Raw genomic sequence first — 26,809 nt, forward strand, 5'->3', positions numbered from 1 at the left:
GCTGGAGCGCAATAGTGCAATTTCTGCTCACTGCAACTTCTGCCTCCTAGGTCCAAGAGATTCTCCTGCCTCAGCCTCCCAAGTAGCTGGGACTATTGGTATGTACCACCACACCTGGCTAATTTTTGTATTTTTAGTAGAGACAGGGTTTCGCCATGTTGACCAGGCTGGTCTCGAACTCCTGACCTCAGGTGATCCGCCCACCTCACCTCCCAAAGTGCTGGGATTACAGACGTGAGCCACCACACCTGACCATGGCTCTTGATCTGTACTGCCAAATTGATTTCTTGAAGAATATGATTACCAACTATAATCTGTGAAGCATGCTGTGCTAGGTTTCAGGGTACTCAAAACAAAATTTAAGATTGAGGGAATAAAAATAAAACCAGCATATTTGTGTTCATTCTCCTTGTCATCCACACTCTCTAACCATTGAAGGTGCATTCCCTCCTCTTGGTTTCTGTGGCTTTCACCTCCTCTGCTTGTTCCTTACAAGTTTTTAGGCTTCTGTCTAGGATGATCTGCCTCCTCTTACTTTCCCCTTTCTCCCTGGTTCGTCTTATCCAGTCCCAGTGTTTCTGCTCACGTTCTTCTGTGTCTGTATCCTCACCACAGACATCTCTGTAGTCAGTCTATAGCCACATTCCCACATGTTGGTCTACCATCCACTTGTCCATTTCCCAAGTCAGAAATCCAGGTCATGATGATTCCTTTTTCTCCCTTACCTGCCACATCCAATAAATGACAAACCTTATCAATACTGTCTTTTAAATATCTCCAGAGTCCATCATAGTTCTATTTATTGTTATTTATTACATGGATTATTACAACAGTCTCTCAAATGGTTTCCCTGCCACATGGCATCCAAATAATATTTCTAAAGCACCTTCTCTCTTTTGCTTCGGGGTTTTACATATCTTATTTATTAAATCATTTTGGCACACCTTTGCTTGTTCATGTTCTCATCTATACCAACACCCACCTTCCCCAACGTCCATACACACATGCAAGTACATACACACTCCTTCCTCCCTTTACATTTGTTTAGCTTGTGCCTACTCATCCATCAGGCCTTGTATTACTTACTACTCATTTCTCACTAAATTGTAAGCTCATTTCTTATCCTCATTCATCACTAAATTGTAAGCTCCTTGGGGCACAGATCATGTCCTGTTGAAGCCCTAGTGCCTGCCAAAGTGGCTAGTGCTTATTAAAATCATTATAACCTGTGTCTGCTCAATGCCATACTAAAAGTTGAAAAAGTATAAAACTCATTTAAACTGGCAGTTTGGCTGTAAATGAAAACCTGTGATGGGTCATCTCCCTGAATGTAAGTAAAAAATGTGACTCATCTGTGGGTTTTCTTTTATTTTTTATTTTTTGAGACACAGTCTCACTCTGTCACCCAGGCTGGAGTGCAGTGGCACAGTCTTGACTCACTGCAACCTCCACCTCCTGGGCTTAAGTGATTCTCATGTCTCAGCCTCCTGATGAGTAGCTGGGACTACAGGCATACACCACCACACCTGGCTAATTTTTGTACTTTTAGTAGAGACGGGGTTTCACCATGTTGGCCAGGCTCGTCTCCAGCTCCTGACATCAGGTGATCCGCCCATCTCGGCCTTCCAAAGTGCTGGGATTACAGGCATGAACCACCATGCCCGGCCGACTTATGTTTTTAAAGTTTATTTTTAAGAATAAGATGACTGTTGTGCTATAGAATTCAGGTTGAAAATCTTGTTTGCAACACTGTCTTGACTTGTAGCTTTTTTTTCCCGATTCTACTACTATAATAAGCATTTTGATAGATTTTATTCTTATATTTGCACCAAGTCCCAAATTAGGAGAAAGAAAGCAGAAGGAAATTCCAGAGGAGTCAGTAAAGGAGGGCAGTTTTCCAAGAGAGGGGCAGAAGGAGGAGGGCTCACAACAGAATCGAGATATGAAAGATGAAGAAAAAGAACAGCAGTTAACCATGAAGCCTGAGGAAATTGTGAGGCTTAGAGAAGAGCTGAGCCATATAAATCAGAGCCTTCTTCAGTCTCAGAGCTCTGGGGATAGTTCAGATGACAGTGGTGCCCAGGTAGGTGCTATAAACACATGCCCTGACTGGGTTCGTTTCCTCTGATTGGCTGTGGATATAAGCATCATTTTAAATACCATCATTCATATATATGTTTTTTTTTATTTTTTTAGGTACATAGTAGATGTGTGTATTTATGGAGTACATGAGATGTTTTAATACAGGTATACAATGCATAAAAACCACATATGGAGAATGGGGCATCCATCCCCTTAAGCATTTATCCTTTGTATTACAAACAATCCAGGTACACTCTTTGAGTTATCATATACATTTGTGAGCAATATTATAACCATGGCCTGAATAGTAGCAAAATAGCAAGTAAAATCTGAACTAAGTCCATCAGTTGATGCACTTTATTATAAAATGTTCATAAACTCCATCTAAGCTCAGCAGGAAAATTACCGATTGACTGTTGACATCTGCCCTAGCCAGACAGGATTTGGGGATGGTAGGATGCACCACATTTTCCATTTCTGGTATGTAGCTTACTAGACAGAGTACTTCATTTTAGTGAGGAAAATACGACAGACATTTTATTATTTTAATTATGGCTTTTGCTATTTTACTAGGGATCTGCCTGTAGGAGAAATAAAAGTAGTGACTATAGCCACATTTTGGTTCTTACACCTCATTTTACAGGTTCTCTCTTACACAAATTAAAATTTCCTTACATACACCTTTCCAGAAATTATTTTGAGATCCACAGAAGGGAGGCCTTTGTACTCATAAGTAAATAGAAGGCCGATAATATACATTTGAAAAGTGATTCAAGTATACGTTTAGAAAAAGAGTAGCAATAAAGGAAGTTAAAAAATATATTTGAAAGGATTCAGATACAGAGTTTGAAAACTAGACAAGTCACAGTAAATGGGGAAAATATTTACCTGAAAGGAGATTTAGATACACCTGTGAAAGGAAAAGGAGTCACTGAATTTGTTCAGAAGACCAAAGGGGAACATGACATCAAATATTTAAGAAGAGATTACTTTTACAGCTCCAGATGGACATTGGTCAGTGGACATTGGCCAGTGTGGGAGGCTTGAGCAGAAGCTGAACACTGTGATCACAAAGATTATCAAATATTTTCTTAGCCAGTAGTCTTCACTCTATTGCCACAATAGGAATGAACTTGCCATTGGGACCAGTATTTTATGAAGTTCATTTGTACTTAATGTTTATTTTATTAAAATAAAATGTTAAAAATTTTAAACAATAAAATATTTAAATAATTAAATAAAATATTTTATTTATATTAAATATATTAAATAAAATATTTTATTTATATTAAATATATTAAATAAAATATGTAAATAATAAAATATTTAAAATTTTAAAATATTAAAAGCTGATAAAATTAGGATAGTTAAGGCTAGTTCCAATTTGTTTTATTTTAATTCTTAAGGAATTTGTAATTCCTTAAGACGGAAAAGATGTTAGGCATCATCTGGTCTTATGTCTTTAATTTACAGATGAATAAATGAAGACTAAGAAAGGGTAATTGGCTTAATAGATCTGTTGACTGAGAAAAAAACAAAAGACCCCTGTGTACTTACCTTGCTCTTTTTTGTGGTTCCTAGTAACCTGATTGAGTGTTTATGCTCTGCAGTAACTTTCTACCAGGATTATATGGTGGGAAAAAAAATAGAGACTCTTGTTGGCTGCTTGTCTAGTAGCTAGCTGCTTCAACAGTTGACTTTCTTGAAAAATAATTTGCATTTCTACTCTGGCAGAGTGACTGAACTGGAAAATGTAGATGAGAAGAACTACTGTTCTGGTTTTTCCATCCTTCAAAAGAAGCTAAAACTTTTGGGCCTTTGTCCTCTTGGTAAAACTGGGGTGCATCTCTTGTATACAGTATCTCTGTTTTGGTATGTTAACCTATAGGCTGTTGATTATTAATTAATTGTTAAAAGCTGTTATATAATGGTTAAACAAGAAGGTAGAATGGTGATCAAGGCATTCCATGTTGTTTGCAGATGGAAAATGAAGACAGTTAAGGGAAAATTAGGAAGCATCAACAGTAATGGGAAACATTATTGAGTGCTTATTAAGTGCCAGACATTGTGCTAAGTGCTTGCATGTGTTATCTTTCTAACTCATCACCCCATCCAGCAGTAATCATTATTATCCATATCTTAAGATGAGGGAATTGAAGTATAGAAGATGAAGTAATCTTTCCAGGATCACCCATTGATAAGCAGTAGATTCAGGATTGAAACACAGGCGTGTCTAATTCCAAAGTGAGGGTTCTGCTACAATTGATTGGAGTACCAGAAGGAGACGGGGAGACTGGAAATAAGCTGGAAAACACACTTCAGGATATTATTCAGGAGAACTTCCCAAACCTAGCAAGACAGGCCAACGTGCAAATTCAGGAAATACAGAGAACACCATTAAGATACTCCATGAGAAGATCAACTCCAAGACACATAATCATCAGATTCTCCAAGGTTGAAATGAAGGAAAAACTGTTAAGAGCAGCCAGAAAGGCCAGGTCACCTACAAAGGGAAGCCTATCAGTTTAACAGTGGACCTCTCAGCAGAAACTCTACAAGCCAGAAGAGATTAGAGGCCAATATTCCACATTCTTTAAGAAAAGAATTTTCAACCCAGAATTTCATATCCAGCAAAACTAAGCGTCATAAGTGAAGGAGAAATAAAATCCTTTTCAGACAAGCAAATGCTGAGGGATTTCATTACCACCAGGCCTGCGCTGCAAGAGCTCCTGAAAGAAACACTAAATATGGAAAGGAAAAACCGGTACCAGCCACTGCAAAAACACACCAAAATATAAAGACCAATGACACTACGAAGAAACTGTATCAACTAGTGTGCAAAATAATCAAATAGCATCATGATAACAGGATAAGATTCACACATAACAATACTAACCTTAAATGTAAATGAGCTAAATGCCCCAATTAAAAGACACAGACTGGCAAATTGGATAAGGAGTCAAGACCCATTGGTGTGCTATGTTCAGGAGACCCATCTTATGTGCAAAGACACACACAGGCTCAAAATAAAGGGAGGGAGGAAAATATACAAAGCAAATGGAAAGCAAAAAAAAGCAGGGGTTGCAATCCTAGTCTCTGACAAAACAGACTTTAAACCAACGAAGATCAAAAAAGACAAAGAAGGGCATTACAAAATGGTAAAGGGAACAATTCAACAAGAAGAGCTAACTATTCTAAATATATATTCAACCAATACAGGAGCACCCAGAATCATAAAACAAGTTCTTAGAGACCTACAAAGAGACTTAGACTCCCACACAATAGTAGTGGGAGACTTTAACACCCCACTGTCAGTATTAGACAGATCGAGACAGAAAATTAACAAGGATATTCAGGACTTGAACTCTGCTCTGGATCTAATGGACCTAGTAGACGTCTACAGAACTCTGTACCCCAAATCAACAGAATATACATTCTTCTCAGTGCAACATGGCACTTATTCTAAAATCGACCACATAATTGGAAGTAAAACACTCCTCAGCAAATGCAGAAGGACTGAAATCATAACAAATGGTCTCTGAGACCACAGTGCAATCAAATTAGAACTCAGGATTAAGAAACTCACACAAAACCATGCAATTTCATGGAAATTGAACAACCTGCTCCTGAATGACTTCTTGGTAAATAATGGAATTAAAGCAGAAATCAAGAAGTTCTTTGAAACCAATGAGAACAAAGAGACAAGTTACCAGAATCTCTGGGACACAGCTAAAGCAGTGGTAAGAGGGAAATTTATACCACTAAATGCCCACAATAAGAAGGCTAGAAAGATCTCAAATCGACACCCTAACATCACAATTAAAAGAGCTAGAGAGGCAGAGCAAACTAATCCAAAAGCTAGCAGAAGATAAGAAATAACTAAGATCAAAGAAGAGTTGAAGGAGATAGAGACATGAAAAACTCTCTAAAAATCAATGAATCCTGGAGCTGTTTTTATTGTTGTTGTTGTTGTTTTTGTTGTTGAGTCAGAGTCTTGCTCCATCACCCAGGCTGGAGTGCAGTGGTGTGATCTTAGCTCACTGCAACCTCTGCCTCCTGGGTTCAAGTGATTCTCCTACCTCAGCCTCCCAAGTAGCTGGGATTACAGGCACGCACCACCATGCCTGGCTAATTTTTTGTATTTTTAGTAGAGACAGAGTTTCATCGTGCTGGCCAGGCTGGTCTCGAACACCTGACCTCATGATCCTCCCACCTTGGCCTCCCAAGTGCTGTTATTACAGGTGTGAGCCACTGCACCCGGCCCAGGAGCTGGTTTTTTGAAAAAATTAACAAAATAGACCACTAGCTAGACTAATAAAGAAGAAGGGAGATAAGCATCAAATAGACACAATAAAAATGACAAGAGGATATCACCATTGACTCTGCAGAAATACAAACTACCATCAGAGAATATTATAAACACCTCTATGCAAATAAACTAGAAAATCTAGAAGAAATGGATAAATTCCTGGTTGCATACACCCTACCAAGACTAAACCAGGAAGAAGTTGAATCCCTGAATAGACCAGTAACAAGCTCTGAAATTGAGGCAGTAATTAATAGCCTACCAACCAAAAAGAGCCCAGGACCAGACAGATTCACAGCTGAATTCTACCAGAAATACAAAAAGGAGCTGTTAGCATTCCTTCTGAAACTATTCCAAACAATTGAAAAGGAGGGACTCCTCCCTAACTCATTTTATTAAGCCAGCATCATTCTGATACCAAAACCATGAAGAGACACAACAAAAAAAGAAAACTTCAGGCCAATATCCCTGATGAACATCGATGCAAAAATCCTGAATAAAATACTGGCAAACCAAATCCAGCAGCACATCAAAAAACTTATCCACCACAATTAAGCTGGCTTCATCACTGGGATGCAAGGCTGGTTCAACATACACAAATGAATAAACATAATCCATCACATAAACGGAACCAAAGACAAAAACACATGGTTATCTCAATAGATGCAGAAAAGGCCTTTGATAAAATTCAACATCCCTTCATGTTAAAAACTCTAAATAACCTAGGTATTGATGGAACATATCTCAAAATAATAAAGAACTATTTATGACAAACTCATAGCCAATATCATATTGAATGGGCAAAAGCTGGAAGCATTCCCTTTGAAAACCAGTGCAAGACAAGGATGCCCTCTCTCACCATACCTATTCAATATAGTATTGGAAGTTCTGACCAGGGCAGTCAGGCAAAAGAAAGAAATAAAGGGTATTCAAATAGGAAGAGAGGAAGTCAAGTTGTCTCTGTAGATGACATGATTTTATATTTAGAAAAACCCATCATCTCAGCCCAAAAACTTCTTGAACTGATAAGCAACTTCAGCAAAGTCTCAGCATACAAAATCAATGTGCAAAAACCACAAGTATTCCTTTACACCAACAATAGGCAAGCAGAGAATCAAATCATGAATGAACTCCCACTCACAATTGCTACAAAGAGAATACCTAGGAATACAGCTAACAAGGGATGTGAAGGACCTCTTCAAGGAGAACTACAAACCACTGCTCAAGGAAATAGGAGAGGACACAAACAAATGGAAAAATGTTCCATCCTAACATCCTAATGGATAGGAAGAATCAATATCAGGAAAATGGCCATACTGACCAAAGTAATTTATAGATGCAATGCTATTCCCATCAAACTACCATGACATTCTTCACAGAATTAGAAAAAACTATTTTAAATTTCATATGGAATCAAAGAAGACCCCATATAGCCAAGACAATCCTAAGCAAAAAGAACAAAGCTGGAGGCATCACACTACCTGACTTCAAACTATACTACAAGGCTACATTAACCAAAACAGCATGGTAGTGGTACCAAAACAGACATATAGACCAATGGAGCAGAACAGAGACCTCAGAAATAACACCACACATCTACAACCATCTTATCTTCGACAAACCTGACAAAAACAAGCAATGGGGAAAGGCTCTCCTATTCAGTAAATGGTGCTGGGAAAACTGGCTAGCCATATGCAGAAAAATGAAACTGGACCCCTTCCTGACACCTTAAACAAAAATTAACTCAAGATGGATTAAAGACTTAAATGTAAAACTCAAAACCACAATAACCCTAGAAGAAAACCTAGGCAATACTATTCAGGACATAGCCATGGGCAAAGACTTCATGACAAAAACGCCAAAAGCAATTGCAACAAAAGCCAAAATTGACAAAATGAGATCTAATTAAACTAAAGAGCTTCTGCACAGCAAAAGAAACTATCATTAGAGTGAACAGGCAACCTAGAGAATGGGGGAAAAATTTTGCCATCTACCTATCTGACAAAGGTCTAATATCTAGAATCTACAAGGAACTTAAACATATTTACAAGAAAAAAACAACCCCATCAAAAAGTGGGTGAAGGATATGAACAGACACTTCTCAAAAGAAGACATTTACGTGGCCAACAAACATATGAAGAAAAGCTCAACATCACTGATCATCAGAGAAATGCAAATCAAAACCACAATGAGATACCATCTCATGCCAGTCAGAATGGCGATTATTAAAAAGTCAGGAAACAATAGATGCTGACGAGGCTGTGGAGAAATAGGAATGCTTTTACATTGTTGGTGGGAATGTAAATTAGTTCAACCATTGTGGAAGACAGCATGGTGATTCCTCAAGGATCTAGAACCAGAAATACAGTTTGACCCAGCAATCCCATTACTGGGTATATACCCAAAGAAATATAAATCATTCTACTGTAAAGACACATGCACACATATGTTTATTGCAGCACTATTTACAATAGCAAAGACATGGAACCAACTCAAATGCCCATCAGTGATAGATTGGATAAAGGAAATGTGGTATATATACACCATGGAATACTTTGCAGCCATAAAAAGGAATGATATCATGTCCTTTGCAGGGACATGGATGAAGCTGAAAGCCATCATCCTCAGCAAACTAACACAGGAACGGAAAACCAAACACTACATGTTCTCTCACTCATAAGTGGGAGTTGAACATTGAGAATACATCGACACAGAGAGGGGAACAACATACACCAGGGCCTGTTGGGGGTAGGGGGTGAGGGGAGGGAACTTAGAGGATGGGTCAATACGTGCAGCAAGCCACCATGGCACACGTATATCTATGTAACAAACCTGCACATTCTGACTATGTATCCTGGTTTTTTTTAGAAGAAATTTTTTTAAAAAGTGGCTGGGCGCGCTGGCTCACGCCTGTAATCCCAGCACTTTGGGAGGCCAAGGCGGGTGGATCACCTTCAGAAGTTGGAGACCAGCCTGACCAACATGGTGAAACCCCGTCTCTACTAAAAATACAAACATTAGCTGGGCATGGTGGCACGCACCTGTAATCCCAGCTACTCAAGAGGCTGAGGCAGGAGAATTGCTTGAACCCAGGAGGCGGAGGTTGTGGTGAGCTGAGATCGCACCACTGCACTCCAGCCTGGGCGACAAAGCGAGACTCCATCTCAAAAAAAAAAAAAGTGAGGCTTCTTCATAATTACATTATAACCCATTGAAGATTTTTTTTTCCTAGGGATCTTGCAGCTCTAAGAAAAGCATATTGTGTTTAGATTGCCTTTCTAGCTAAACCAAAATAGGAATTGAAGAGTTAACAGGACTTGAGGGCTTCTGTGTTACTTTAGGGACATAAGCAAGATAAAACTAAAATAATGACATGGGCTTTTTAGAAAGTTGTAGACAGGAGCATACTGGACCAGGACTAAGGAAACTCTAAGAATATCTTATCTATTGAATTGTATAAGATTGAATTCTTTATCTATTCAGCATACTACTTGTGCCTACCTTTGTAGAAAATCCAAATGACTATTCTCTTATTTCACTGAAGAAGCCTGATAGGAAAGTGTATTGCTGGTGTTTGATACATGTGCTTTTTTTACAGCTTTATTCAGGATTTTTGTTTTTTTTGAGACAGAGTCTCTGTCACTCAGGCTGAAGTGCAATGGCATGATCTTGGCTCACTGCAACCTCCACTTCCTGGGTTCAAGCAATTCTCATGCCTCAGCCTCCCAAGTAGCTGGGACTACAGGTGCGCACCATCACACCCAGCTAAGGGTTTCGCCATGTTGACCAGGCTGGTCTTGAACTCCTGACCTCCCAAAGTGCTAGCATTACAGGCGTGAGCCACCACGCCCAGCCTATTCAGGATTATTGACAAATGTTGTATGTTTGTGATGTACAACCTGATGTTTTGATTTATGTGTACATTGTGAAATGATTAAATCAAGCTAAGTTACATATGTATCATCTCACATACTTTTTTGTGGTGAGAACATTTAAGCTCTACTCTTTTAACAATTTTCAAGTATACAACACATTAAGTATAGTCACTATGTACATATCCAGAATTTATCCTGTCTATCTGAAACTTTGCACCCTTTGACCAGCATCTTCCCATTCCATGCCTCCCCTCCCCAGCCTCTCAACCACCATTCTACTTGCTGCTTCTGTGAGTTCAACTTTATGAGTTCAACTTTTTCAGAGTCCACGTATAAGTGAGATCATGCAGTATTTGTCTTTCTGCGCCTGGCTTATTTCACTTAGCATAATGCCCTCCAAGTTCATTCATGTTGTGACAAATGACAGGATTTCTGTCTTTTTAAAGGCTGAACAGTTTTGCATTGTATGTGTGTTTGTGTTGTGTGTGTATACTATATTTTCTTTTCCATTCATCCATTGATTGACACTTATGGAAAATGTTTCACATTTTTCTTGGCAAAGATTTTTTGGATGTGACTCTAAAAGCAAAAATAGACAAATGGGGTTGCGTCAAGTTAAAAAGCTTCTGCACAGCAAGGGAAACAATCAACAGAGTAAAAAGACAACCTACAGAATGGGCAAAAATATTTATGGATCATACGTCTGATAAGGGGTTAATACCCAAAATATATAAGAAACTCAAACAACTCAATAGCAAGAAAACAAATAATCCAATTTAAAAATAGGCAAAGGATGCAAATAGACATTCTCAAAAGAAGATGTGCAAAAGGCCAACAGGTATGTGAAAAAATGTTCAGCGTCGTGAATTATTAGGGAAATGCAAATTAAAACCACAATGAAATATCACCTCACACCTATTAGAATGGCTTTTATCAAAAAGACAAAAGGTAAGTGTTGGCAAGGATGTGGAGAAAATAGAACACTTCGACACTGTGGGTGGGAATGTAAATTAGTACAACCAATATGGAAAACAGTATGGAGGTTCCTCAAAAAATTAAAAATAGAGCTACCCATATGATCTAGCAATTCCGCTTCCAGGTATATATCCAAGGGATATGAAACCAGTATGTCAAAGAGATATCTGCAGAAGTGATGTGTGTGTGTGTGTGTACACAATGTAATACTATTCATCCTTGAAAGAATGTGTTTTATGGGAGTGTGTTTATGGGAGAAGAATCATCGGGAAATAAAAGAAAGTGATGAGGAAGGCTAGAAACTTAAGGTCTCTTACTAAATTTCCTCTTTCTTTTTGCCAACAGACACCACACAGACACACACACACACACACACATTCACACTCTACTTCTTAACATATGGACTCTTTGAACTTCCCATTTTAAATGTGTTTTACCCTAAAATTGTCTGTGCTTCTATCATTGATATGAAAAATAAGGTAAGTTGTCTGTGCCTAACTGCTTTTGTTAACATAATTTTATTGTTATTTTCACTCTAATATAACATGTATTATATGAACATGTATCAACTATCCATAAATGTAAAAGAGTAGTTTGCTGTAGATAAGCTAACTCCAAAAACATTTACATGTGAATAATCACATTCTGACAATTCCGGTTCTGACAACTTGAACCCATGTTTTACCAATATTCTTTCCAATTGTCTGTGTTTCTCTTTTAAAATGTTTGCTTTAGCATCCATCATCTGGAGAAAAACTAAAATACAACCAGCAAGGGGAAGTACAACAACTTCACCAGAATTTGCACCGGCTCCAGATTCTATGCAACTCAGCTGAAAATGAGCTTCGATATGAACGAGGGCAGAACTTGGACTTAAAGCAACATAATAGCTTACTTCAGGAAGAAAACATTAAGGTAACTCTTGTGGGCAAATGCTTTATGGAAGGGTTTCAGTTGGCCCTGGGAATAAACGAATCTAAGTTCCTCTACTTGATAATTCATGATAGGATCCACAAATATGTGGACAATGTGAGCTATCTGGTAACTTCCTCCTTTAACTTTTCCCTGCTAAGTAAGAATGTGTGTATTATCAACCTGTAAATAGAAAAAGGCATTAAATTACATAATCTTCTGAAAACACTATCTAAAATTTTTAGTACTTACTAAACTTCAGTGACCCGAGCCCTAAACCCTGGTTGTCCTGCCCTGTGTATCACTAGACTTATTTATCCCTATTAGATGTATCCATTATTATTGGTTCAGTCAGATCTCAACTGCACCAAGGTACAATTCGTGGGAGAACAAAGTTGTTCTTCCTAATACAACAGCATGAAATAGTTAAGGCAACATCCCCCAAAAGCTTGTTTAAAAATAATCTATGTAGAACTGCCATACACAGATTCAACTAAATTTTATGGACCACATAAATGTTTAAAATTAACCTCCGTGTAAAATAGTACTTCCTCTTAATTATGGTTCAATTCTGTAAATATACATTAAGGACTTAGTTTCTATAAGCCTCTATTGAAGGTTCTAAAATTCAACATTCAATATTCATATGCAATCTTGTAGACACACTGAGAGTTTAATGGTAGGCACAAAAATCCTTATCCCCATGGTGCAGGGGTCAGCAAACTTTGGCATGTAGGTCAAATTCTGTCTGCCTTCTGTTTTTATAAATAAAGTTTTATTGGCAGCCATATCTGTCTGTTTATATATTATGACTGCTTTTGTGCTACAGCAACAGATTTGATAGTTGTGATGAAACCATATGACCCACAAAGTCTAAAATATTTACTACCTGGCCCTTTATGAGAAAAGTTTGCCCACACCTGGTATAGCAGGATAAAATGATCTTATTTGAAAAGTGACATAAACATGGATAAGAAAGGTCCCTACTTTTCAAGAGCTCACAGTCTAGTAGGGGAGATATAGAGGAAAACAAATATCCGTTTATCCCAAACTTCAAGGAAGGCCTTCTAAGGGAGTTCTCGTATTCCGGGATTATTTGAATAAACCTCTTCCCTGTCCTCACCCTTCATGAGTTTTTGAAGACTGATCATATTCCTTCAAGCCTTTGTAGTTTTAAATTAAATTCTAAATCTTTATCACATGTTCTTATAAGACAGTCTTTCACTTTCCCTTCAAGGACATTTCTTAGATCATTTTAACTCTCCAACTCGGGACATATTCTAACAATACTACATATTTCTTAAGGAACAATGGCCAGAACTACACAGATTATAATGCCTTACATATGATTGGTACCCTATAAATATTTATTGGATTAATGAACAGTCTTTCAGGGATGGATAAATGATAGCTTGGTAACAAGAGAAGATTTTTATTTTTCACTGTTTGTAAAGAGCATGCAGTAAATTTAAAAAAAAAGAGAGAGAGAATTTTTTTTGTCTATTTTAATCTCCATGGTGAGATAAATTATTGGCCATTTAGAAATAAGACATCAGCCTCTTGATTAGCTCCTTTGGCCAGGCACCTATGAAAGTTATATATGATGAGTATCCTTTATTGAGAGTTTGTCCACTTTATCTCTTTTTGTTTGTTTGTTTCTGAGATGGAGTCTCGCTCTGTCACCCATGCTGAAGTGCAGTGGCATGATCTCTGCTCACTGCAACCTCCACCTCCCAGGTTCAAGAGATTCTCCTGCCTCAGCTTCCTGAGTTGCTGGGATTATAGGCGCATGTCACCACGCCCAGCTAATTTTTGTATTTTTAGTAGAGGCAGGGTTTCACCATGTTGGCCAGGCTGATCTCGAACTCCTGACCTCAGGTGATCCTTCCGGCTTAGCTTCCCAAAGTGCTGGGATTACAGGTGTGAGCCACCGGGCACTGCCTGTCTACTTTATCTCTTACGAACAGCCTCACAACCCTAAAGGGTCAGCACTTTATGGATGAGGAAACTGTTCAAGATTGCAAAGCTAACAAATTATAGAGTCAGAACTTGTCAAGTTTGTTTCTCTCTTTCCTTTATAGACATCTTGCCATATTACACCCCTCCTCAATTTGGGTCATTTTGGAACCTCAGCTTTACAAACTTAGGACTCACTTTTAAAAATCCACTCAAGGCCAGGTGCAGTGGCTGACACCTATAATCGTAGCACTTTGTGGGGCTGAGGTGAGCAGATCACTTAAAGTGCTCACGAGTTTGAGACCAGCCTGGCTAACATGGCGAAACCCCATCTCTACTAAAAGTCCAAAAAAAAAAAAAAAGAGTTAGCCGGGCATGGTAGCACACGCCTGTAGTCCCAGCTACTCGGGAGGCTGAGGCATGAGAATTGCTTGAATCCAGGAGGCAGAGGTTGCAGTGAGCCATGATCGGGCCACTGCAATCCAGTCTGGGCGACAGAGTGAGAATCTGTCTCAAAAAAAAAAAAAAAAAATCCATTCAAATTATCAAACTTGAGTATCTAGCTAATGTTAGGCATACTTATGAGACTAAGAAACAAAAACACATGCTCACTTTAGCAGCACATATACTAAAACTGGAATGATACAGAGAAGATTAGCATGGCCCCTGTGCAAGGATGACACGCAAATTTGTGAAGCGTTCCGTATTTTTTAAACTAAAGAGTTTCCGCACAGCAAAAGAAACTATCATCAGAATGAACAGGGAACCTACAGAATGGGAGAAAATTTTTGCAATCTGTCCATCTGGCAAAGGGCTAATATCCAGAATCTACAAGGAACTTAAACACATTTAGAAGAAAAAAACAACCCCATCAAAAAGTGGGTGAAGGATATGAACAGACGCTTCTCAAAAGAAGACATTTATGCAGCCAGCAAACATATGAAAAAAAGCTCATCATCGCTGGTCATTAGAGAAATGCAAATCAAAACCACAATGAGATACCATCTCATGCCAGTTAGAATGGCGATCATTAAAAAGTCAGGAAACAACAGATGCTGGCGAGGATGTGGTGAAATAGGAACGCTTTTACACTGTTGGTGGGAGTGTAAACTAGTTCAACCATTGTGGCAGACAGTGTGGCTATTCCTGAGGATCTAGAACCAGAAATACAATTTGACCCAGCAATCCCATTACTGGCTATACAGCCAAAGGATTATAAATCATTCTACTATAAAGACACATGCACATGTATGTTTATTGCAGCACTATTCACAATAGCAAAGACTTGGAACCAACCCAAATGCCCATCAATGATAGACTGGATAAAGAAAATGTGGCACATATACACCGTGGAATAATATGCAGCCATAAAAAAGAATGAGTTCATGTCCTTTGCAGGGACATGGATGAAGCTGGAAACCATCATTCTCAGCAAACTAAAACAGGAACAGAAAACCAAACACTGCGTGTTCTCACTCATAAGTGGGAGCTGAACAATGAGAACACATGGACACAGGGAGCGGAACATTACACACCAGGGCCTGTCAGTGGGTGGGGGACAAGGGGAGGGATAGCATTAGGAGAAATACCCAATGTAGATGACAGGTTGATGGGTGCAGCAAACTACCGTGGCACATGTATACCTATGTAACAAACCTGCGTGTTCTGCACATGTATCCCAGAACTTAAAGTATAATTTAAAACTAAAATAAATTAATTATTTAAAAATTTAAAAATAAATAAAAATAGTGGCTTGGTGCAGTGGCTCAAGCCTACAATCCTAGGGCTTTGGGAGGCCAAGGCAGGAGGATTGCTTGAGCCCAGGGATTTGAAGCTGCAGTGAGCTATGATCACACCACTGCACTCCAGCCTGGGTAATAGAGTGAGGCCCTGTCTCAAAAAAAAAATTAAATAAACATTAAAATATCACTTTTTCTTTAAAAAAAAGAAAAAGAAACCAAAATACTAACTTATTGCTTTTAAATCATTTTGTTATAAAATATAACACTTAGAAAATGCATAAAACATACAGTTTACCTAGTAGTCATAAAGTAAATAGACAACTAAACACTACCCAGGAGAAGAAATAGAACAATGCCAGCACACTAGTGGCCCCTGCACACCTTGTCCCCATCATAATCCCATCACCTTACCACCCAAAATTAGTAGTAACTGCTAATTTTGGTAATAACTCTCTTGCTTTACTTTATAGTTTTATCAACTATTTATGAATCTCATACAATATAGTTGTTTTCCCTATTTTTCAAAATTATATTTCAAAAATATAATCAGTATTTATACCTTGTGTCTGCCTTATGATAACTTTGTCTGCAAGATTCATTCCTGTTATAGTGTATAGCCATTATTTATTCATTTTCTTTACAATATAGTATTCTATTGTAAGAAAATGCCATACTTTATTTATTTTTTCTGTGGCTTATGGACATTTTACGTGTTTCCAGCTTGGGGATGTTAAAAAGAATGTTGTAGGCTTGCAGAGCCTCAGGCAGATTGCTGCTTTGTCACCACCAGTACCAAGACGCTGATGTAGATCCTCTTCTTGGTGCTCGACTGTCCCAACTTGAAGCTGAAGAAGCTGCCTTGGATGCATAGGTCATTGGCCATAACAGTGTTTGCCCCAGTGTTGTCTTATTTCATCATTACCAGCATCGCCAAAACCTTAAGTGTTGACTCTTTGATCACAGGCCCAAGAGGCCTTTACCTTTCTTGGCCTGTGGAGTAAATAGACAATATATTATGAAAGGACTTGTATGTACCCTTTCTGTTTACAATGAGATGTTTAGGTTTCTTAATTTTGAACAAATTCAATTTACCAAATATTCCAGAACACTTGATTTCTTCTTTTTCTTTGATTTGTTTCTTATCTATTCATTGTCTGTGTCTTACTTTTTTCATAGTAAGATTGTTCTTGAAAAATGAAACTTCTAGGCTTTCTAAAAGGCTGGAGTGCCTTTTTAGAAGAAGTCAACAGCTAATAGATTTGTTCTTATCATTGAAATTTCAAAAGTTATACCAACCCTCCAAAATAAAATGAGAAAATGAAAAAAAAAAATGAACCAGAAGGTGAGCTGGTTTAGAATGGCAAGGTGGGAAATGGGTTTTTACTAGAAAAATAGGAAGTTTATTAAAACTTGATTGAGAATTTCTTTTTGGTAATATCAATGAGATAAGCGTATTACATTTTTTCCTGTTGACCTACATTGATCCACCAATGATATCAAGGCATTTGCTCTTAGGGTTTAATTTCTTTACTTCTACATACACTCATTTCATTGTGTTTAACAAAGCGTTTGACCATTTTTATGTGTCCACTAACATTTTTGGAAATGGCATTTCTGGTCTTCAAAAATTAACGAAAAATGAGGAAATGAGGTTTCATAAGCTAAGCACTCTACACACTTGAGCAGCTTTTATTGAAAGAACTTTGCCTTTGAACAGAGGGTTTAACAGCACATTATTTCAGATATGTTCAGTCAATGAATTTCAGATTCTTTCTTGAGTAGCAAGATATATGAATAGAACTGAGTAAGGTTTCTACTTTTTAAAGAGTGCTGCAATGAACACTCATGCACATGTATCCTGATGTCCATAAGTACACATTCCTCTAGGAAGAGATTGGGAGTGGAATTATTTTATCATAGAATATGTATTACTTCAACTCCTTCTAAAGTCTTCCACCAACAGTGTCTGAAGGTTCCCATTGCTCTACATCCTCACCAACTCTTGGAACTGTCAGACGTTAAAATTTTTGCAAACCTAGTATACGTGTATAGCAGTAGTTCCTTGTGGTTTTAGTGTGCATTTGCCTGTTTGCAAACAAGGTTGAGCAGCTTTTTATACATTTAATTGGCATTTGAATTTCTGTTTTGTGAAGTGCTTGTTCAAGATTTTGTTCATATTTATTTGGGGTTTCTGTCATTTTAATTTTTTCATTAATTTATAGAAGTTTTTTAAATACATGAACCCTTTATCAGGTATGTATTATAAACATCGACTCTGTGGCTTGCATTTTCATTCTCCTTATATATCTTTTGATGAATCAAAGTTTTTAATTTTAATATTCATTATTTTTCATTATAACTAGTGATTTTTGGGGTCTGATTTAATATCTTACTACTTCAAAGTCATAAAGCTATTCTACATTAACATTTATTTATGTATTTATGTATTTGCTTATTTATTTTTGAGATGGAGTCTCACTCTGTCACACAGCCTGGAGTACAGTGGCATGATCTTGGCCCACTGCAACATCTGCCTCCTGGGTTCAAGCAGTTCTTCTGCCTCGGCCTCCCGAATAGCTGGGATTACAGGCACACACCACCATGCCTGGCTAATTTTTTTGTACTTTTAGTAGATACAGGGTTTCACCATATTGGCCTGGCTGGCCTCGAACTCCTGACCTCAGGTGATCTGCCCACCTCAGCCTCCCAAAGTGTGGGATTACAGGCGTGAGCCACCGTGCCCAGCCTATTGTGGCATATTTCTGAGATCCCTATTCTGTTCCATTATTCTATTTGTCTGCCCTTGTGCCAATACTATGCTATCATGATTATTTTAGCTTTATATAAATATTAACATTTGATAGAACAAATCTTTTCACCTTGTTCTTCTTTTCTGGGATATCTGGGCTATTCCTGGCCTTTGGGGTTCCTATATAAGTTTTATAATCAGTTTGTTAAGCTACACACAAATACTCACATGAACTCACATAGAACCCATGAATATTGACACACAATCTTTTGGGATTTCAGTTGGAATTACATTGAATCTATAGGTCAATTTGGGCAGAATTTAAATCTTTGCAATATTGAATCCTCTAATTTAAGAAGAGAGTATGTGTATTTAGGTTTTTAATTTCTCTCAATATTTAAATTTTCTTATATATCTTTTGTTAGACATATTCACAGGTGCTGATATTTTCCATACTATTATAAATGGTAACTTTAAAAATGTTCATTTTCTAATTATTTCCCAATATATAGAAAATATATAATCATTTTCTAATAAAAACTTTCCCATACTTTTTTATTCTTACAATGTATGTATATGTTATTTTGGATTTTCTATGCAAGTAATCATATCATCTAAAGACAATTTGCTTTCTTCCTTTCCATATGTTAAACCTTTCATTCTTTTTTCTTGTTCTGTTTACTGGCTACCACAGTGCTGAATAGAACTGGTGACAGTAGGCATCCTTTTCTAATTCCCAGTCTCAAAGGAAAAGCTCTCAAATTTCACCATTTAGTATGTTTTTATAGCTTTTTAAAAATAGATATTTTATCCAAATGTACTTTAGAAAGAAAGAAAAATAAATAAAAATATTTATTACATTAAGGAAATTGCTTTCTAGCATTAGTTTGTTCAATGTTTTATGACAAATACATGTTGAATTTCATAAATTTTTTTCTGAATATTTTGAGAAGGTTTTTTAAAAATTTTAATCTGTTAATATGCTGAATTACTTTGACTGATTTTCTAATGTTAATCCAATTTTGCATTCCTGGGATAAACCTAACTTCATCATAAATTATCATTCTTTTCCTACAATGCTGGATTTGGCTTGCTAATATGTCTTTGGGATGTTTGCAACTTTGCTCAAAAGTGAGACTAGTCTGTCATTTACTTCCTTGCAATGCCCTTGTCAGATTTTGATATCAAGGTTATCCTAGCCTCTTAAAATAAAAATGGGTAATATACCCTCTTTTTCTGTCTTCTAGAAGAGTTTGTATTAAGTTACAATGATTTCTTCTTAAATTATTGCAAAAAACTCATCCCTAAAGCCTTCTGATTTTGCTTTCTTTTGGGTAGGTTTTCAATTTCTAGTTCCATTTCTTTAATAGTTATGAGAAGTCAAGTTCTTCTTTTTTTTGCATCAACTTTGTTATATTTTATTTTTCTAAAGTTTCCATTTCATTTAAATTTTTTAAAGTTTTACAGAAATTTATTAATCTTGTCTTCTTTTTAAAATGTATATATTTTAACAAAGGTAGCTTTTGAAAAAAAGAAGAAAAGATATATAATGATGGTCATTTCACTTTTATAATATTAGTTACCTTTGCCTTGTTGCTTTTTCTTTGATCAGTCTCACTAGAAGTTTATTCATTTTATTAGACTGTTTAAAGAACCAAATTTTAGCTTGTTGATCCACTCTAATGTATTCTTTTTAGAGAAATAATAAATACACATATTTCACAGTTTAGAGTAAATATAGTATAGAGTACTGGATTAGAATCAGAAAATCTATATTCAGACCTTGATTCTATCATCTGGCAACTATTTGAGATTCAGTTTTTTATCTCTAAAATGGGCTAAAATACCAATCCCAGCCACTTCATAGATGTGAAAGCCTAACAAATGTAAAGTAGTAATATTAGCATATGCCTCAGCTCTGTATTTCAAATGCAGTAGATATTCTAAAAGCAATTATTGAATATCAACACTTAACTGTTGTTAGGTCTTTCCTATGTGTCTGGCTCTATTCTTGAGGCTTTAATTGCTTTGTCTCATTTAATGCAGCCTCACAACTATCCTATGAGGTAAGTAGTTATTATCCCCATATTACAGATGAAGAAACTGATGCTCAAAGTGGTTGAACACAATTAAATTTTAGATTCATTTTATATAATCTGATTGGTTAATATAGAGAAAGCACAGATGAAGGACATTATAGCTATCATCCCTGTTAATTCAGTTGAAAAGCTTTGAGACCAGGGAATTCTATTTACCATTAAAACAAAGTAAATTCTCTCTCACCACTTTTGTCTATGAGCCTTCCCTGCCCAGTGTATACATTCACTACGTTCTGATACTTTTTAGAATATCATTCATTTACTTGCTCAGTAAATAATTGTTTAATCACCTACTCTCTGGTTCTTTGATAGGCCTTGGTATTAAGACATGAATTAAAAACATAGTCTTGGCTGGGTGCGGTGGCTCACACCCGTAATCCCAGCACTTTGGGAGGCCGAGGCGGGCAGATCACAAGGTTAGGAGATCGAGACCATTCTGGCTAACTTGGTGAAAGCCTGTCTCTACTAAAAGTACAAAAAAATTAGCTGGGCATGGTGGCGGGTGCCTGTAGTCCCAGCTACTCAGGAGGCTGAGGCAGGAGAATGGCGTGAACCCGGGAGGCAGAGCTTGCAGTGAGCAGAGATTGTGCTACTGCACTCCAGCCTGGGCGACAGAGAGAGACCCTGTCTCAAAAAAAAAGAAGCAAACAAACAAAAAAACATAGTCTCTGCTTTCTTGGAATTTAAAGTGGGGAAAGGGGATATAAACAGGTATATAAATGCATACTTAATTATAAATCATGGTATGTTTGATGAAGGAAACAAATGTGGTACAGTGATGAGTAAGGACATTTCAGATTAAATGATTCTGAAAATTGCCCCCTGCAAAGTGACATTTAAGCTAAGACCTGCAGAATAGGCAGGCAACCATACAATGAGAAGGGAAAAGGGAAAGCATTTCTGGCAGAGGGAAGTGTGGAAAAAATTTGGTGTATTGGAAACTCTTAATACCAACCAGTGTGACAGGAGTTACAGTGGGAGAAGGAGAAATAACAAGATAGTTTTAAAGAGATAGACAAGGGCCAGAGTGTACAAAACCAGGCAAGCTGGTGGGATCTGGAGTGAGGGACCACTGAAAGATTCTAAGCAGGGGTGTCAAGTAGTTCAATTTATGTTTTTAAAAGAAAATTTGGCCACAGCATTAGAGGATAGATTAGAAAAGAGTAAAAATGGAAGTGGTAGGACCAGTGCAGAGGCAGTTGCTGTAGCCCAGGCTAGAGATGATGCCCCAGACTAGAGTGGTGGCAAAAAAAATGACACAAATGGATTAATGCAAGTTGTATTGTGGGGATAGAATGACAGCATGTGCTAAATGATTGGAATTGGTTCATAATGGAAAAGGAAGACTCAGGGATTACTGACCTGCACAAAAGTTTGGATGGTGGCATTATTTACTGAAATTGGGAAGACAGAGAAAAAAAGACTTTGGAGATACAGGCAGAATCAAGGAGTTTCATTTTGGCAAGTATTGGCATAAAATGGCATTTCAAATTATAGAAATGGATAGCAAATCATCTACTCTCTAGGCCTAGAAGTGTCCAATAATACTCACATGTTGGGTAGCATTAGAAGAGTCTACAAAGAAGACCAAGAAAGAACAGCAGAGAGCTAAGTGAAAACCAGCAAAGTTTGGTGTCACAGAATGCTACTGAGAAGTCACTTGTCCATTGGATTTATTTTGGCAATGAAGAGGTCAGTTAGTACCCTTGGCAGAAAGTTTCACTGGAGTAGTGGGGATGAAAGCCAGTTTGGACTAGATTGAAGAAAGGATGGAAAATGTTTAGACCATGCATATATAGAAACTCAGGAAAATTCCTTTGTCTAACTGCCATCTGTCTACACTTTGGAAACTCTTACATGGCAGCTCTAAAGAGGTACTCAGCCATGTGACATTGGTATTTGTTGGCTTTTAGGGGACTATACTCCTTTGAAAGCTGCTTATTCTAGTTCACATTCATTCCACACTTATTTGTATTACTCTTACTTATTCTCTACCTCTAGATAAAGATTGAACTAAAGCATGCCCAACAGAAGTTATTAGACAGCACAAAGATGTGCTCTTCACTCACGGCAGAGTACAAGCACTGTCAGCAGAAAATCAAGGAACTGGAGTTGGAAGTACTTAAACACACTCAGAGCATTAAATCACAGAACAACCTACAGGAAAAGCTGGTTCAGGAGAAATCTAAAGTTGCTGATGCAGAGGAAAAGGTAATTATCCTCATGCTTAATAAACAGCATACACTGAATACCACTACTGAAATCTTATTTCCCTGAGGATTTTAAGAAATAAATATGATGCAGACTTGATAGAATTCTAAGATTTTTTTTCTCTCCCATGTTTTCTTCTGTTTTGATTTCACCTGTTCCTACAATTTTAGGAATTCTTGTGTATTTGTAAAAACTTCATGGGCTTAAAAAGGTCAGTTTTATTAAAGCGATAACATGAACTTAAAGAACTGACTGATCCCATGTGGCCTTTGTTTTATATTTTCACATTTGAGAAGGCGTATTCTCTCATTTGGATTGGCTGTTAATGTAAATGTTGTTTTAATTTTGTTTTTTTCATTGACAAACAATTGTACGTGTTCATGGGGTACATAGTGATGTTTATTTTTATTTATTTATTTATTTATTTTTGAGAGGGAGTCTCGCTCTGTCACCCAGGCTGGAGGGCAGTGGTGCGATCTCGGCTTACTACAAGCTCCACCTCCCAGGTTCACGCCATTCTCCTGCCTCAGCCTCCCAAGTAGCTGGGACTACAGGCGTCCACCACCACGCCCGGCTAATTTTTTGTATTTTTAGTAGAGATGGGGTTTCACCGTGTTAGCCAGGGTGGTCTTGATCTTCTGACCTCGTGATCCACCCGCCTCGGCCTCCCAAAGTGCTGGGATTACAGGCATGAGCCACCGCGCCTGGCCCATAGTGATGTTTCAATAGATATAATGTATAGTGATCAGATCAGGGTAATTATCATATTCATCACATCAAACATATTTTGTAATTTTGTAGGGGGATTTGTGTTGTGAAATGAACCATTTTGAAATATTGTCCCTTCATTTTAGATTGCCCGACACTAGGTGGCAGTAGTATGTAACAGTTGTACATTTTGATGTGCAAGTTTGAGAGTTAAATTCGACAAAAAAAATTTCATCAAACCATATAATATGAAGCAAACATCAAAAAGTAGATGACAGCAATCTGAATTAAACTAAAAAAATCTAATGTTGAGTTAAAGAAACCAGAACAAAAGAGTTCTTACTATACAATTCTATGTATAGTATGAAGTTCAAGAATAGATAAAACTAAGCTATGGAAGTAAGATAGTGGTTATTCTTGTGACAGGTATTAACTGAAGGGGGCACTAGGGAATCCTCTGTGGTGCTGCAAGTATTCTATATCTTGGTCGGGGAAGTAGATACACAAGTCAGATTTCATTGAGTACACTTAAGACATGTATGTTATTCACCATATGTATATATGTAGGTTACTTTACCATATGGATGTTATAATTCCATTAAAAAGTAATTGGTAAAATTGGTAAAGATTGGCAAGATTTTAAAACTTAGACAATACTAAATATTAGTGAGGATTTGGTGCAACAAGAACTCATATATATTAACTTCACTTGGAAGAGTTAACTAGTATAAATGTTTTAAAGATGTGTGCATCATACAACTTAACACTTCTACTAGGCATAAGAAAAACTGTTACATGCATGTATGTATCAGGAAACAGGAATATAGTCATGTTCATAATATCATTGTTCCGAATAACAGAAAACTAGAAACAACCCAAATGTCCCCTGGCAAAAGATCAAAAAAATAAATTGTATATGTATATGGTAGTATTACTGGTAATCTGAGTTCTTTCCCCCACTTTGTATCAGTTGCAAAGAAAGAGCATCCAGGCTACTCTGCCTATGGGGTAGCCCTGCTGTGTCTATGGAACAGCCATTTCCCTAGAATTAACTTTTTTTGTTTTTGTTTTTGAGACAGAGTCTCGCTCTGTCACCAGACTGGAGTGCAGTGGCGCTATCTCGGCTCACTGCAGCCTCTGCCTCCCAGATTCAAGCGATTCTCCTGCCTCAGCCTCCTGAGTAACTGGGACTACAGGTGCACACCACCATGCCCAGCTAATTTTTGTACTTTTTAGTAGAGACGGGGTTTCACCATGTTGGCCGGGATGGTCTTGATCTCTTGACCTCGTGATCCACCCACCTCAGCCTCCCAAAGTGCTGGGATTACAGGCGTGAGCCGCCCTGGCTGAATTAACTTATTTTTAAGAAAGGAAAGGAGAGGCGAGGCGAGGCAAGTGGCCAGGTGAGGTGAATGGCCAGGCGCAGTGGCTCACACCTGTAATCCCAGCACTTTGGGAGGCCAAGGTGGGTGGATCACCTGAGGTCAGGAGTTCGAGACCAGCCTGAACAACATGGTGAAACCCCATCTCTACTAATAATACAGAAATTAGCCAGGTGTGGTGGCACGTGCCTTTAATCCCAGCTACTCAGGAGACTGAGGCAGGAGAACTGTTTGAACCCGGGAGGTGGAGGTTGCAGTGAGCTGAGATCACACCATTGCACTCCAGCCTGGGTGACAAGAGCGAAACTCTGTCTCAAAAAGAGAGAGAGAGAGAAAGAGAGAGAGAAGCAAGGAAGAAAGGAAGGAAGGGAGGAAGGGAGGAAGGAAGGAAGGGACTATTAGCATGGTGGCTCATACCTGTAATCCCAGCACTTTGGGAGGATGAGATGGGAGCATCACTTGAACCCAAAGTTCAAGACCAGCCTGAGCAACATAGTGAGACCCTATCTCTACAAAAATAAAAAAGTTAGCTGGGCATAGTAGCACATGCATGTAGTACCAGCTACTCTGGAGGCTAAGGCAGGAGGATCACCTGGGCAATATAGCAACAGCACATCTCAAAAAAAAAAAACCTCTCATATATTAAAAAGGAACAGCAAGGATGCGATTAACACAAAATTCAGGATATTGGTTTTCTCTGGTGGAGAGGGATGAGGGATAATCAAAGAGGGTCACACAATGGGCTTCAAGTATTGGAAATGTTCCCTTTCTTAAATTGTGTGGCAGGTTCAAAAGTTTGGATGTATCCTTGACAGAGAAGCCAATGAGGTGATGCTTTTGTCTGTGGAATTAGTACTGAATTCCTTAAGTAAGAATTCTCCCTAGACAGAACTAAATAGAACAGCTCCAAGGAACTTGAGCTGGCCTCAGATGGCTGGCTGCCTACTACCATTCCCCTTGAATCATTCTGCATCTTCTTCTCTCTCATGCTGTGTGGGCTATGCAGAGACCTAGGTGCAGGGGCTTGGGATTGATGCAGAAAGCCCCTCTCTTAGAAAACGGGTGACACCCACTGGCATTCACTGAATATTTGTGGGGAATGTGATGCCAAGCCATTGTAAAAGATTCCTTGTTGGGTCAGAAATATATTAGAGGGATAATAGCTACCCTGCCGAAATCTATTCATTCAATAAATATTTATTGAGCACCTACTATGTACGAGGCACAATTTAAGGTGACACAAGAGTTTATAAAAATAAGTAAACAAGTGTAAAGGAAATTTATCTTTAAAAAATGTGGGGGTTTTTTGCTGCTACATGAAAAAGGCAAGAAAAAAATGTTTTTAAATGACACTTTAAATCTGTCATATAAACTCTAAAATATAACAGTCTCTCTTTCAAATTTGTAAATCATATTTTTAGTTCTCCCAGAGCATTAAAAAACCTATTATTGATGCTAAGCAATATGCTAATAGGTGCTTGGTTTATAAGAGACTTCTATTTTGTTTTGCAGTGTTATTCATGAATCTAGCCACACTGTGGAGAAACTAGGTGCACTCACAATGCTGTTGGGAGTATAAATTGGTCTAATACCTGTGGAGGCAGTTTGGCATTATCTATCAAACAAACAAATACTCAGCTTCCTGAGTAGCTGGGACTACAGGTACTCACCACCACGCCCGGCTAATTTTTGTATTTTTTTGTAAATATGGGGTTTTACCATGTTGCCCAGGCTGGTCTCGAACTCCTGAGGCTCAAGCGATTCACCCAGCTCAGCCTCCCACAGTTCTGGGATTACAGGCGTGAGCCAGCA

The 26,809-nt window shown here is 37.9% G+C and overlaps 1 protein-coding gene, 1 long non-coding RNA gene and 1 pseudogene across 12 annotated transcripts in view; 2 read left to right on the forward strand and 1 right to left on the reverse strand.

The window, feature by feature from the left end:
- Positions 1-26,809, forward strand: part of CCDC30 (coiled-coil domain containing 30) — a 201,084-nt gene that overhangs the window by 98,216 nt on the left and 76,059 nt on the right. For 8 of the 11 annotated variants that reach the window (NM_001355226.2, NM_001395384.1, NM_001395379.1 and 5 more), the window contains 2 exons: positions 11,974-12,153; positions 22,698-22,907. In NM_001355226.2, the coding sequence (NP_001342155.1) occupies positions 22,749-22,907 (159 nt within the window). In that variant the 5' untranslated portion in view covers positions 11,974-12,153; positions 22,698-22,748. Of the gene's footprint in view, positions 1-1,833; positions 2,084-3,816; positions 3,955-11,973; positions 12,154-22,697; positions 22,908-26,809 lie in introns of all 11 variants that reach the window. The other 3 variants (NM_001395517.1, NM_001080850.4, NM_001355224.2) reach the window with 2 other exon arrangements.
- RNU6-536P (RNA, U6 small nuclear 536, pseudogene) lies at positions 14,712-14,816 on the forward strand (annotated as a pseudogene).
- LOC124904162 (uncharacterized) overlaps positions 16,499-26,809 on the reverse strand; it is a 104,986-nt gene continuing 94,675 nt past the window's right edge. The window contains exon 2 of the long non-coding RNA XR_007066034.1: positions 16,499-16,838. This is a non-coding gene — a long non-coding RNA (uncharacterized LOC124904162). The remainder of the gene's footprint in view (positions 16,839-26,809) is intronic.

The sequence above is a fragment of the Homo sapiens genome, chromosome 1 (genome assembly GCF_000001405.40).
Source record: "Homo sapiens chromosome 1, GRCh38.p14 Primary Assembly".
NCBI classification, from domain to species: Eukaryota; Metazoa; Chordata; class Mammalia; order Primates; family Hominidae; genus Homo; species Homo sapiens.